The following is a 14,701-nucleotide window of genomic DNA, read 5'->3' on the forward strand; positions in this document are numbered from 1 at the left end:
TGAGATGGACAGACGGACAGACGGACAGATAGGCAGGCCGCACCATGCTGCGGATGAGATGGACAGACGGACAGATAGGCAGGCCGCACCATGCTGCGGATGAGACGGACGGACGGACAGGCAGGTCGAACCATGCTGCAGATTAGACGGACAGATGGACGGACGGACAGACAGGCAGGCCGCACCATGCTGTGGATGAGATGGATGGATGGACAGACGGACAGACAGGCAGGCCGCACCATGCTGCGGATGAGACGGACGGACGGACGGACAGACAGACAGGTCGAACCATGCTGCAGATTAGACGGACAGATGGACGGACGGACAGACAGGCAGGCCGCACCATGCTGCGGATGAGAACTTGGGCTTCTGGAGGGAGGAGATGGGGCCCGGGGGCATCCCGCACTTCTGGGATGTGGGACTTGGGATAAGTCCCTTGTGACCCTGAGCCTTGGTTTTCTCATCTGAAACTGGGCATGGCGCTGGACACAACCTCGAAGGACGTGTGTACAAATAAGACGAGACCAGGCGTGTGATGACCTCAGCTGGGAGCCAGCACAAAAGGAATGCTCAAAAAAAGGGCCGGGTGCACGGTGGCTCAAGCCTGTAATCCCAGCTCTGTGAGAGGCTGAGGTGGGCGGATCACCTGAGGTCAGGAGTTCAAGAACAGCCTGGCCAACATGGGGAAACCCCGTCTCTACTAAAAATACAAAAATTAGCCGGGTGTGGTGGCGCGCGCCTGTAATCCCAGCTACTTGGGAGTCTGAGGCAAGAGAATCACTTGAACCTGGGAGGTGGGGTTTGTAGTGAACTGAGATCGTCCCACTGCACTCCAGCCTGGGCGACAGAGCAAGACTCTGTCTCAAAAAAAAAAAGTGTATTTTTATTTTTATCCTTTTTAATTCTAGAATTTAGCTTGAGGGACAGAAGAGGACCCCATAGGCCAAACCCACAGCCAGAGGCACAGGCTGTGGGCTCAGAAGTGGGTCTTGCAGGATGGGAAGGGTCAGGAGAGTGAGGATGTGGGCAGAAGGAATGGTTCGTGCAGAGACGCAGGGAAGGGGGCCAGGTGATTCGAGGGGAAAGTGTGTGGGTGACAGAGAGGAGACAGTCCACTCCCCCTGCCCACCTCATCCAAGCCCCTGTAGGTCTGTTACTGTGCATCTGACCGGTGAATATTCTGAGACTTCTCAGAGCCCACTGAGTGTAGGAGCTGGGGTTCAGCCTTCCTGTGTCTGGCTCCTGACCGCTCGCTAGGGTTAGGAAGGATTAGGCCACAGGCTCTGAAGGAGCAAGAGGGGCAGGAGGGCAATTGAGGGGCAATTGAGAGGAACCCAGAACATGGAAGCCCTGTGCCGTGGGGCTGGTCCAGAGCTCACCAGGCTGGACCACGTGGTTGCTGAGCCATGGCCCCTGACCGGGGCTGACCTGGCCAGAGTCCCTGTGGCCAGCACTGATGCAGGGCTCCTTCCTAGAGGGGCCGGGCCATGAGGAACAGGAGAAACGGCAGATGATGCGGGAACCGGTCTGTTCGGCTTTGGTTTGCAGGATCCGATTTGTTTTTCATCAGCAGCAGATTTGCTTAAGTATATGAAAATGTGTTTCTAATTCCCCGAGCACACACCAACTGCTGGCGGGGGAGGGAGCAGTGCATAGGAGCAGAGTGAATGCCACCGGGAGTCAGAGTGCTAGGCCCTGGCTGCTGAGAGAGCGAGAATACGCCCCCAGCCTCAGTTTCCCCAACTGAGCAGCCGGGGAAGATTTGGCTAGATTAACCAGTTCATTCAATGTTCCCTGCTGATTGCCAGGTACATTCTGGGAGTTTAGGGAAATCCAGATTGGTCAGAGACAAAACCACACAAAACAGTGGACTCCAGTGCAGACAGAGGGGTCCTAGATGTATACCCCGGGCTCAGCATAGCAATAATCATTTTAAAAAAGATTTTAAAACATTTTTAAAACTCAGGTGAAGTTCACATAACATAAAATTAACCAGTTAAACAACGTTTTGGTGGGTGCAGTGGCTCACACCTATAACCCCAGCACTTTGGGAGGCCGAGGCAGGAGGATCACTTGAGGCCAAGAGTTTGAGACCAGCCTGGGCAATGTAGTGAGACCCCATCTCTCAAAAAAAAAAAGTCTTATTGTGTCTAACATAAAACTTGCCTTTTAAACTATTTTACAATATACAATTCAGTACATTCACAATGTTGTGCAACCAGCATCTCTACTTAGTCCCAACACGTTTCCATCGCCCCAATAGAAAACCCTGCACCCGTTAGTTACTCCCCATCTCCTTCCCCTGCCCCTGAAAACCACGCGTCTACTTTTTGTCTCCATGAATTTAGCTATGCTAGACATTTCATACGAATGGAATCAGACAATATGAGGCTCTTTGTGATGGCCTTCCTTCACTGGCAAAATGTTTCCAAGGTTTGTCCACATTGTCGCATGACTCAGTGCTTCATTCCTGTTTATGGCTGCATAATATGCCATCCTGTGGACACACCATATTTTGTGTATCCGTTTCCTAACTGATGGACATTTGAGCTGCTTCTGCTTTCTGGCTATTAGGAGTGATACTGCTGTGGACATTTGGGTCTCAGTTTTTGCATGTGTGTATGTCTTCATTTCTCTTGGCTGTCTACCTAAAAGTGGAGTTTCTGGGTCACAAGGTAATTCTATGTGTAACTTTTTGGGGAGCCACCAAACTGTTTTCTACAGGTGCTGCACCTCTTACGTTCCCACCAGCAATGTACGAGAATGCCAGTTTCTCCGAATCCTTGTCAACACTTGTTATTTTCTGGTTTTGTTTTGTCTTATTAGGATGAGCCTAGTGGGTGTGGGGCAGTATCCCATTATGGTCTTGATTTGCATTTCCCCGATAGCTAATGATGTCAGTGTGCTTCTTAGTCATTTTTTTGTTTTTGTTTTTGTTGTGTGTTGTTTTGAGACAGAGTCTCATTCTGTCACCTGGGCTGGAGTGCAGTGTTGTGATCTTGGCTCACTGCAACCTTCACCTCCTGGGTTCAAATCATTCCTGCCTCAGCTCCCAAGTAGCTGGGATTACAGGTACACACCACCACACCCACCTAATTTTTGTGTTTTTAGTAGAGACAGGGTTTCACCATGTTGCCCAGGCTGGTCTCGAACTCCTGGCCTCAAACGATCTGCCCGCCTGGGCCTCCCGAAGTGCTGGGACCACAGGCGTGAGCCACCACGCCCAGCCTATTTTAAATTTAATGAACTCCAATGTGTGTATTTTTTTCTTTTGTTGCTTGTGCTTTTGGTGTCATATCTAAGAAACCACTGCTAAATCCAAGGTCAGCAGTATTTACCCCCATATTTTCTTCTAAGACTTTTATAGTTTTAGCTCTTATATCTAGGTCTTTGATCCATTTTGAGTTAATTTTTGTATCTGGTGTAAGGGAAAAGGTCTATCTTTATTCTTTTGCATGTGGAGATCCAGTTTCCCCAACACTATTTGTTGAAGAGCCTATTCTTCCCCCACTAAATGTTCTTGGCAACCTTGTCGAAAATCAATTGAGCATAATCTATGCACTTACTTCTGGACTCTCAAATCTCTGGGTTTTTTTGTTTGTTTGTTTGTTTGTTTTGGAGTCAGAGTCTTGCTCTGTCACCCAGGCTGGAGTGCAGTGGTGCGATCTCAGCTCACTGCAACCTCCCCCTCCCGGGTTCAAGCGATTCTCCTGCCTCAGCCTCCCAAGCAGCTGGGATTACAGGCACTAGCCAGCACGCCCAGCTAATTTTTGTATTTTTAGTAGAGATGGGGTTTCACTATTTGGCCAGGCTGATCTCGAACTCCTGGACTCAAGTGATCTGCCCACCTCGGCCTCCCAAAGTGCTGGGATTACAGGCGTGAGCCACAGCGCCTGGCCTCAAATCTATTCCTCTGAAGCATCAAGCATTCTATGTGCACTACTTCATGAAACCCTCCTGGATATTCTGCACTGTAGAAACGATTACTCTCCTGTTGTGCCCATTTTATAGATGAGGAAACTGAGACTCCAAAACTGAGTGAAGTCAAGGCTCAAACTCAGATCCCAGTCATTTGATGACTAGGCCACAGTGAGGCCTGAGGAGGGGAAAAATCCCAATGGTTACCCTCCCCTTCCCCTCCCCACCCTCATTTTCTTCTCCCTCTTTCAGGCTGGGATGTGGACTTGGATTCTCAGAGCAGGGTCCTTGGAAGGAGATGCTGTGACTTCTCTCTGGCCTCCAAATACCTCCTCAGCCTCCAGTCCACCTCCGTCCCTCTCCCACGCAGCCAGGCACTGTTCTGTCCTCTTCCTTGTCCCACAGTCAGTGCTTGCATGTAGCAGGTACTTAATAAATGCTGAAGATAATTATCCATCATTTCAAATAGAGACACACAACTTAGAAGGCATGCTGGGATTGTCTAAGGCCAGAAAAACCCCAATGTCGATAAGCATGTTACAGTGAAATTGACTGCGCCCAGGAAAGGGGACCCCAGAAGCAGGTGGCTGGTGTCCCCCTACCCTGCCCCAGGCCCCGAGTTCCCCAATCCACCACTAGGAAGTCCTGGGCTCCTGTGAAGACAATATAAAACCACTGATTAGGCCAAGTGTGGTGGCTCACACCTGTAAATCCTAGCACTCTGGGAGGCTGAGGCGGGCGGATTGTCTGAGCTCAGGAGTTTGAAACCAGCCAGGGTGACATGGTGAAACCCCATCTCTACTAAAAATACAAAAAAAAAAAAAAAAAAAATTAGCTGGGTGTGGTGGTGCACACCTGTAGTCCCAGCTACTCGGGAGACTGAGGCAGAAGAATTTCTTGAACCTGGGAGGCGGAGGCAGAGGTTGCAGTGAGCCGAGACTGTGCCACTGCACTCCAGCCTGCACAACAGAGTGAGACTCGGTCTCAAAAAAAAAAAAAAAAAAAAACTACTGATGAGGCACATCCCCCCCTCTCATTTCCTATGAAGGAGAAACTGAGGCCCAGAGGGTTGGAGTGACTTCCTTGAGCCCCCCATGAGGAGCTTCAGACCCTGGAGGCTCCACCCCAGGCCAAGGGCTCTCCCAGAGGTAGACTGGAGCCATGAGGACAGGGGCCCTCCCCAACCAGGTCTCTGTCCATCTACACGTGCCCTGGATCTGACTTCACGTGATGGCATCTGGTGGGGGACACAGGATGCCTGCCCGGATGCCACCTGCAGCCAGTGGGGGCCGGAGCTGCCTCTTCAGGGTCAGTGAGGGTGATACATCTACTTCCCAGCCTGCTTAGGTGAGCTCCCGCCTATGTGTCACTACTGGTGACTGGCATGGCTCAGAGCCAGATCTTGGGGGCCCTGAGGGGATCAAGAGCGTCCCCTAAGCCCATCTGCCAGCTGCGGTCTTCTCTGTGGTGGCAGCATCACAGAAAGTGGACAGAAAGAGTGCTCTGTGCCAGGAGGGCAAGGCCGGGTAGGATGGTGGCTGGAATGCTGGCGATCGCAGCAATGCCGGCGATCATGGTGCTGGGTTTTGGTGGTGTGCTGGACGCCTGGGAGCCTCATGAGTGAGAGACTGGGGCACACGTGCTTCCGTAGTGCCATGCACCGGTGGCAATTCAGAGAAAGACGCTGTGCAAAGCACCCCATGTGTGCAGCTTTTTGCCCTCTCGTAACAGGACGGAGCCAGGTCAGAGTGCAGATGAGGAGAGGAAGGTGCAGGGAGGTGGAGATGCTGACCCAAGTTTGCACAGCCAAAACTAGGATCGGTCTCCAGGGCCTCCGTCACTGTCCTGTCCTGCCTTCTGTCACACAGGAGTTCGAATGGTCGTTCTGAAATTGAGAGCTAGCGGGGCTGGGATCTCACTGGGCGGCCACAGAGGGGTCCCCTGACCTCTTGGGGTCTCGTTGGCAGGAGGGAATTGTATTGGAATATCCAGGTGTGTGGATCCCTGTGAATCTAACCCTGGAGTGTTCCAGAACTGCCCACCCTGTGGAAAGGGACTCAGGCCTGTCTTCAAGGACCTGGCATCCTTCTGTCCCAGGGCAGTTTGTCTTGGGTCTCTCAGGGACCGTTTGGGCCTCTTCAGCCCCTCATTCCACTTCCCTCCTGCTGCCCAAGTCATTCGTCCACTTGACTCCAAGAGTCGGCTGGGGAAATAAAAGGAAATGAAACACGACCAGGCATTTTCCCTTGGCCGAAGCAGAAGTCTGCTGTCGGGCAAAAGGTGAAGAAGAGACCAATGAGAGATGAGCCCACGGTGCTCCTGCCCTCCACCAAGGCAGGCCATCCTCTGCTGCCAGCCTGCAACAGGGCAGTGTCCTTCTGGGAGGTGTCCCTCCCTCTGGGGGATCAAGAGATGGCCAAAAGCAGGTGGCAGCAAGTGGAGAAGGCTGTTAATCCAGAACGCACCTTGTCTCTGCCCCTGTCCCCACCCAGGCAACATCCAAAACCTTTGCCCACAGTTCTGGGGCTGGCACCGTCCTGGGGCTCAGCTCCTAGGGACGGGGCTCCCCCAGGCACTGGCTGCCAGGAACTGGGTGGCCCCGGGCAAGTCTCTTCCCATTTCGGGGTATAGACTTCCTGCCTGTAAAATGAGGGGGTCTGCAGGTCAACCTCAGAGTCCCACTGTACCCCCAGATTCTGCTTCAGGGAGACGGAGAGAGAGAGAAAGAGAAAGAACGATAGAGAGATGCAATAACCTCCCAGCATCCAGGAAGACCCAGAGGGGAGAAATGCAGGGAACCTACCCAGAAAACCCTGGAGCGGGAGCTTCTCACTTTTAATGGTCATGGCCCCACTTGAGAATCCATGGTGCTCTTCCTAGAACCACGCATGTGCACACGTGTGTGCAAACACTGGGCTCATGCACAGGCACACACACACACATATAAGGTTGCAAACACTTTCAGGGACTTCCCAGATTTCTCTGAGTCCATCCGTGGTCACTTTCGGTCAATCATCTGGCCTGAGCAGGTTCTGCCTTCTGGGGGCTCTTCTACCCTCAGGGAAATCAGGGTTTGGTTCCCTGTAATTGTCTGGTCCAATTGTCTGAGGACTTTCTCTTTTTTTTGAGACAGGGTCTCACTCTGTCACCCAGGCTGGAGTGCAGTGAAGCAGTCTTGGCTCACTGCAGCCTCGACCTCCTGGGCTCCAGTGATCCTCCCACTTCAGCCTCCTGAGCACCTGGGATCACAGGCATGCACCACCATGCCTGGCTAATTTTTGTATTTTTGTAGAGATGGGGTTTTGCCATGTTGCCCAGGCTGGTCTTAAACTCCTGGGCTCACTTTCTTTTTTTTTTTTTTTTGAGACGGAGTCTTGCTCTGTCACCCAGGCTGGAGGGCAGTGGCATGATCTTGGCTCACTGCAACCTCCACCTCCCAAGTTCAAGCAATCCTCCTTCCTCAGCCTCCCAAGTAGCTGGGATTACAGGCACCTGCCACCATGCCTGGCTAATTTTTGTATTTTTAGTAGAGACAAAGTTTCACCATGTTGGCCAGGCTGATCTCCTGACCTTAAGTGATCCGCCCACCTCAGCCTCCCAAAGTGTCGGGATTACAGGCGTGAGCCACCGTGCCTGGCCATAGCCAGACTTTCTTGATTCTATATCCTTCTCCTCAGAGCAGAAACATCGAGCATTTGTTGAGTGCCTCATGTATACCAAGCCCTTAACCTAAGCTATAGCTCATTGAACTCTCACAGAAGTCTTAAGGTAGAGCTTGTATTTAGATCCGTTTTGAATATGAGGAATCTCAGGTTCAGAGAATTTAAGCCACTTGCCGAAGGCCACACAGCTTCTAAGTAGAGGAGGCTGGCACCTCCAGCCTGGGCCGCCCGGCCCGGCATCCAGGTTCCTAAACAGGCTGCTCAGCTGACACGAGTCGCTCTGGATCTCAGAAAGCGCCTGATAGACGGAGGCGGCTGTCATCTGTGTGTGTGTGTGCGTGCGTGCAGCCATGTGTGCTGGTGAGCATACTGTCCCTGTCAGCCTCTCCTCCCCCAGCACACCCCGGCAGCCCAGAGAAGGGAGGGCCCGGAGGAGTGACGGTGTTCCCCACCCCCTGCCCTTTGAGACACAATGGAGTCCGCTAATCCAGTTACTTGATAATTCACTTATTTCATGTCTATTTGGCAGCGAGCGTGCTCCCACGCACCAGCTCTGGGGAAGGCGAGATGGCTTTGCCTGGAGGAACCTGATTGTTTTTCTGGGGAAGGAGTGGGGGAAAAAATTGCACCCAACAATGGACAATAATGGGCCTAAAAATAGAGGGTGGAGGGTGCAGGGGGTGGAGGAGTGTGCTGTCTGCCAAGGGAGGGCTCCAGGCCTGTCTGCTTGGCACGGGGCAGCCCTACCCTCCTGCCCAGTTCCCCTCCCCTGCACTGGGTTGGCCGCCTCTCAGCCTAGAGGAGGGGCACTGGAAGGAGGAGGCCCAAGTGGGTGGGGGGCTGGGTGGCCTTCCTTGCTGTCTCTGCCCGCTCCAAAATGGAAAATTGTCCCACCCAGGGGGTCCTGGAGGCAGCAGCCACGACCTTGGGTGGACGCTGCGCCTCATCAGCCCTGACTAGCCGTGATGCCCAGGACCTTCCCCCAAGGGGCTCAGGCATCAGCTGAGAACTGCAGCCTTGGGTACAGAGTACGGGTTGTCTCCCAGCAGGAAAGGGAGGTTTCAGGTTTTGTGGCTCTTTTCCATCTCCCAACACTTGGGGCAGTCTTCTCGAAGGCCTCAAGCCCAGCGGGCAGCTATGACCCCACCAGGAGCGGAGCGGGCAGGGACCAGGCTGCCCTCTAAGCCACTCGGCTGGCTCTCAGCCGGGGTGCACACTGGACTTGCCTGGGAGCTTTTCATTCCCCCCCTGCCGCAGCTGCCCCCCAGACCAGCTTCAGCAGCCTCTCTGGGCGGCCCAGCAGGAGGAGGCATTAAACCTCCCCAGGTGGTCCCAGTGCACAGCCAAGTTTGAGAAGCACCGATTGAAACCTCTCCCAGGCCTGCCCTGGAGCCCTTCCAGCCTGAAGCATCTTGTCGTCTTAAAACTGAAAGACCAGGAGGAAGAGAATTCCATGGCCTGCCTCGGCTCTCTCAGAGCCTCTCTCACATCTGAGCTGCAGGTGCTCCATCCTCCTTCTGGCTTCCTGGGTGCCGAGGGGTGCCAGCTCTCCAGGCTTGGGAGAGGGCCACTTAAGCCCTCACACTTTGTTCCCAGGCTCTTCACCTGTCTTCCTGGAAGGAGGGGGCCGGCCAGCATTAGGGCTGTCACGGGCGCTGCTTAATGTCAAGCTGCCCATCTGGCTCCTGGCCTCCCTTTGGCCTTCTCTCCTGCGCTCCCCACCAAGCTCCTGGCTCAGCAGCGTGCATGCGTTAACCCATTGCCCCCCTGCAGTGTTTTGTGTGTCCAGCCTGGCCCTTTGCTCAGTCGACCTAGAGCACCATCCTCCCAGACTAGTCGAGTGTCCCTCCACCTGTCCTGAGTCCAGATGAAATCCCACCTCCCCCAGGAAGCCTTCTGACTGCCCCAGCCCGTCACCTCCAGGGCTTGTCATCTGTGCCACTCATGGGGACCAGGACACAGGTGACTTCTCTGGTGGACACAGCAGAACGGTCAACATTCCCAAAAGGGAGCAAATTGCCCGAGTCACCAGAAGTGTGACCTTGAGCAAGCATCTGGCTCAGGGGCTCTTGGCTTCCCCACCTGTAGGTAAAATAACAGGAACAGTGTCATCGTGTGGGGGCCCTTCCCTGGACCACCTGGACCAGCCTCTCAAACCTGGCCACACATCTGAGTCACCTGCTGAGGGTTTTGGTTAGTTGGTTGGTTAATTACTCGATTGGTTAGTTTGTTGGTTTGTTTGTTAGCTTTCAATTTGGAGTAGAATTTCTGACCTTAGGGCCCAGGAATGTTGCCACACCCCTCCCGTCCCCAGGTATTGTCATGTTTTCATGGGTGGCCAAATCTAAGAGCTGCTTCTCTGGGGCACGAAGGATGTTCACAAATAGTTGATGAATAAGTGAATGAATAAATCAATGAAACTTACCAGCCCAGCCTCACTACTCGCACCCACCCCCAACGACGAGCCAGGGTTCATCCACAGAGGGGTGTACCTGTCCAGGTGTCCCCAGGTGTGGGCAGACCCAGTAACTTTACTCTTTCATCGGCCCCACCGCCTCTTAACTCCTCAGAGACCAGCAGGAAGAAACCCTCGGAGGTCGCAGCTTCTGGCTGTTCTCAGGGGCAGGCCCCGTCCATCGGGTGCTGTGTCTACTCCTAAGACCTGGTTCTGAGTATGGAACACCTGGAGAGGGAAGGGGCCGAGGAGGGGGAGTCACTCGGCTGTGTCAGGCTCCGCCCCTGCCTTCCTGAAGCACACAGTGGGGAGGGGACACACCCGTCATTAACCGAAGAAGCCACTGGGGAAAACTGTGACCCAGTGCTCCCTTGGGACTGGGGGGCAGTGGCCAGGGGTGTTTTCCCTGAGGAAAAGAAATTTAAGCAGACACCTGCCAAAGGCTGGAGGGAGAGCTGTAGACAGAAGATGGCTCAACCTGAAAGCTCCGCGGGGTGGAGGGGGCATCCAAAGGGCGGGAGAGACTGGCCAGTAGAAAACGAGGCCAGAAGCCGGACATGGTGGCTCACGCCTGTAATCCCAGCACTTTGGGAGGCCGAGGCGGGTGGATCACCTGAGGTCAGGAGTTCGAGACCAGCCTGACCAACATGGGGAAACCCAGTCTCTACTAAAAATACAAAATTAGCCAGGTGTGGAGGCACATCCGGTAATCCCAGCTACTTGGGAGGCTGAGGTAGGAGAATCACTTGAACCCGGGAGGCCGAGGTTGCAGTGAGCCAAGATCGTACCAGTGCACTCCAGCCTGGACAACAAGAGCGAAACTCTGTCTCAAAGAAAACAAGGCTGGAAAGACAAGGGAGAGAGGCAGAGCTGGTGGCAGAGCCAGGCCCAGGGTTTGGACTTAAGAAGGGGAAGGCGCTGGGGCTCTGAGGAGGAGCTGGAGACAAAGGGAAGGGTGTCTGGCTGCAGGCTGAGAATGGGCTGGGGGTGGGGAGGCTAGAGGGGTCGGTGGAGGCCCCAACCAAGGCGGGGCAGGGGAGAACAGAGTGAGCCTTTAGGAGAAACCACTGCTGGGGACCAGGCTTCACTCTCAGCCCATCCGGAAACCTCTTTCAGCTGATGCTTCCCCCGACCCCCTTCCCCACCCTGGGCCTCTGTTGGAAGCTGGCTGAGGCCCTGTTGATCAGCAAGAAAGCCCAGGGCAGCTCTCAGAGAAGAGGAGAGGGGGCCCAGAAAAGGCCCCCAGGATCTGGGGAGGGGATCCGAGGAGAGGCAGCTACCAAGCGCCCCAGCCAGGGGGGCCTGTCCCTCACCCCACCCCGGCACTGAAACCCTCACAGCCACTTTTTTCCTCCCTCCGTGATAAAATATTCATGGCGGCAGAGTGGGCCCTCTTTGGGAAGGCTGCCTGGGTCTAGCTTATGCTCTGCACAAGCTTTTAAAGAGCAGGGCGCTGTTCCTACTCTCTAAGCATTTTCTAAGTCCTGAATCAATAATGCACTTTCCTGGGCTTCTCCGGATGTAGCCCTCTTCCTCTCGGTGCCTTTCCCCCGCCCGCCCCCTTATCTTTCTTTCCCTTTTCTTCTCTCCCGTTCTTTCATCCTTCCATCTCTCCTTTCATTTACTTTTTAAAAAAGTATGAAAGTGTTGAGCTGTTTGGGTGGCCAGTGAAGCCCTGAGTAGGGAGTGGGCAGGAAGGGAGGCGCCAGACTGAGCCCCTGTGTGTGCAGGGAGGAGGAGGAGGAGTGGGAGGAGGAGGAGGAGTGGGAGGAGGAGGAGGAGTGGGAGGAGGAGGAGGAGGGAAAGGAGGAGGAGCAGCAGCGGCTGAGCGCTCCCGCTGGCCCTGCTAGGGAAGTGTTTGAGGATCACTGAGCTCCTGGTGTGGGGAAGGAGGAGGGCTTAGCCTCACCCGGCCTCCCTCTCTCCTTTTTCTAATCAATTAGAAAGTGTTTACAGCATAGCCAGAGAAAAATAGGGAACCTGGGACCAAGAAAAAATGCAAAGCACCGGCCAAATTTCAGCCCCACACTCGAAGGAGGGAGCAGTGGGGTTTCACCTATCTGCCTTCTGTGGTAATGAAACCCCTGTCGCTAGAGGTATGCAAGAGAAGGGGAGCCTTACCCTGTCTGAGACAGACGCCCATGTGTCTGGTCCATTCTGTCAGTCGCCTGTGGGGTGCCCCAGGGATGCACGGGCACTCTTCAACTGGGATAGAATTTCCTGCCCCAAACATTCCTGGAAATCTGGCTGTGGGAAGAATCCACATATGCCCAGGGCAAAGCAGAATGTGTCCTTTAAGAAAACAATAATACATTTTTAAGTTCCTGGAGAGATTAACCCTTGTCTAGCCAGAGCCATGGCAATGCCTCCCCGCCCACCACACTCTGGTGGTTCGGCTGACGGAGGAGATCAGTCATTCAGGGGTCTGCGGTCCTGATGAGCAGTGGGTGCCCACACCAGGCCTGGCATTTCATCCTTGCTTTCTGACCTTGGCTTCCCAGTTGACCCTCTCCCGGGCAGCTCGTCCATCAGGGCAGCCCAATGCCCTCAGGTCCTCCGAAAGGATCTCAGGGTGTTCTGTGGGGGCAACCCGAATTGGTGTAAGAAGACTAAGCAGTCGATCTGCTGGAACAGCATCCCCAAAGCGGAGCGAAGCCCGCGGATGCCCACCGCCTCTCCCCCAGGCAGCGTCCTACCTGGATAGAACTGCCTGGAGCCACTGCAGAGGGTCCTCGCTCAGTTAGGGAATGTTTGTCATATACCGCTGTGTGCAAACAGCTGTTGGGAGTGTGGCACAAAGGTGGGTAAGGCCCCTGCTCTCCCAGAGTTCACACTCACAGAAGGTTCTGGAAGGAGGAACACTGTGGGCAGGGTTGAAAGGCCTAAAGTGCTCCCTTTCCTCCCAAATAATGCGGGGTGAGGGGCGGTGAGGAGAGCCGCTCTGAGCAACCAAGGAACTGAGATGCATTTTCTGGGTCTCCTTTTGAGCCGAGGCAGGTTCGAGAGGCAGCCAGAGACTCTGGGTTCAAGGTGGACCTGTGCCCAGGCCATGCCCACTGTGGCCCCCCTGGGGGAGGAGCAGGGGCGGTCGCCGTGGCTTTGGGAGGCTCATTGCTGGGACAAGCGAGTCCCTGGGGAGGCAGCGCTTGGAGGCTCGCTTGCCTGCCCCTGCCTGAGTAATTGCTTGGAGCTGGGAGGAAAATTGCTCCAACCAGAAAACAAAACAGAAAAGCCGCCTTGGCCAGCTGCAGCTCCAGCCCTAAAATGCCAGGTTGGTTTACGCTGATTCACGAGCGGGGAGGGTGACCTTGCTGTCTGTTGTCCAGGGCCTGTGCACGAAGAGAATCTGGAAAGGGAAGGAGAGAGACACCTGCACGCTGGGGAAGGAATTAGCAGCACAGAGAGCAAGAGGGACAGCGATCAATGAAACCATAGAAGGAGAATGAGAAACACACACACAGAGAGCGAGAGGGAGCAAGAGAGAGAGAGAGAGAGAGAGAGAGAGGGACAGAAAACAAGAGGGAGGGAGGGAGGGAGAGCTCAGAGAGTTAGAGACCGTCAGGGCCGCTAGAATTAGAATCAGCTCTGAACAGAATCTCCGTTTCCGCTTTGTTAATAATTTATTCCCTCTGCAACTTTTCTTACCAATAAATAGGAAGTAATCTGTTAAGGAGAATTCCCCTAGCACCCCGGCTTTCTCCCTGGAGTCAGGGGAGGAGGATGTGTCTCTGTGCCCTTCCTCCCTAGCAGCATGGGGGCCTGAGGAACACGCAGAACTTGAGACTTTAGGATGTCAGGGTCAGAGGCGGACAGCCCACTCCTGCCCGGTCATTTTGTGAACGGGGAAACCAAGGCACAGATAGGGCAAGGCCCTGGCCAAGGTCACACATGGTGTTAGGGGCAGTCCCCTGAGTCCTAATTCCATGGCCCCACGGGTCAGGGCACCTATTGATTTATGCACCTGCCCAAGCCATAGGGTTTCCCCCGAAATGGCAGAGGCCACATCCAAGGAGGAGGGTGGGGCTAGCTCGGCTGCCTTTCCTTGCCTTCCCCCACGATTGCTTCCCCCGTGCTCGAGTCCTGGCCCTCTACCTGGGCACCCACACCCAGGGCCTCTCCTGGGCAGCCTCCAGCCTTCCACCTTGTATGCGGCAGCAGCCTCCCGTCCTGGTGAGGCTGAGGGGCTGAGGATGAGAAGGGTTCCGTTGGCAAATCAGCAACAGCAGTCAAGAGACGTGCCGCCTGCCTCCCCGTGGAACCCGAGTCTGCGGGAGCACAGTGCGGCCCAGGCAACAGCGTCCTTTCCCTTTTGGGTGAAGGGCACCATTTCCCAATTTGTCTCAGGGCCCAGCTCAGTGGGCCATCCCCTGGCTTCTTATCCCACCTCAGCTGCTGCCGAGCCGCATGACCCTGCGACATTGCTCAGCCTCTCTGAGTCTCGGTTTCCTGAGGATCGCACTCTCCAGGATCCCTGGGAGCGTGGGAGGTGGGGTTGAGGCACACAGGGCGCCCAGCACAGGGCCGAGGTGGAAGACATGCTCCCTAACGGCGGGGCCTGCTGTTTGCTGAAGCACCAGGCCAGACAGTGGCCATGAATGTGCTCCCAGCATCCTTCACCCATGAGCTGGCACCACCGAGGCACTTGCCATGGTGCACCTGGCATCAT

At 54.7% G+C, this 14,701-nt stretch overlaps 1 protein-coding gene across 22 annotated transcripts in view, besides 2 other annotated features; it reads left to right on the forward strand.

Moving 5' to 3' along the window:
* NTNG2 (netrin G2) overlaps positions 1-14,701 on the forward strand; it is an 82,838-nt gene that overhangs the window by 12,369 nt on the left and 55,768 nt on the right. The window lies entirely within an intron of this gene.
* Positions 11,705-11,999: an enhancer, noted in NCBI's record as "tiled region #1592; K562 Activating non-DNase unmatched - State 20:ReprD". NCBI's record gives its function as "activates a minimal TATA promoter and a strong SV40 promoter by Sharpr-MPRA in K562 cells {active_cell/tissue: K562}" and the evidence as "EXISTENCE:reporter gene assay evidence [ECO:0000049][PMID:27701403]".
* Positions 12,350-12,963: an enhancer, noted in NCBI's record as "H3K4me1 hESC enhancer chr9:135061794-135062407 (GRCh37/hg19 assembly coordinates)". NCBI's record gives its function as "activates a minimal SCP1, AML or CMV promoter by ChIP-STARR-seq in primed H9 embryonic stem cells {active_cell/tissue: H9 hESC(primed)}" and the evidence as "EXISTENCE:reporter gene assay evidence [ECO:0000049][PMID:30033119]".

This window comes from Homo sapiens, chromosome 9 (assembly GCF_000001405.40).
Source record: "Homo sapiens chromosome 9, GRCh38.p14 Primary Assembly".
NCBI lineage: Eukaryota > Metazoa > Chordata > Mammalia > Primates > Hominidae > Homo > Homo sapiens.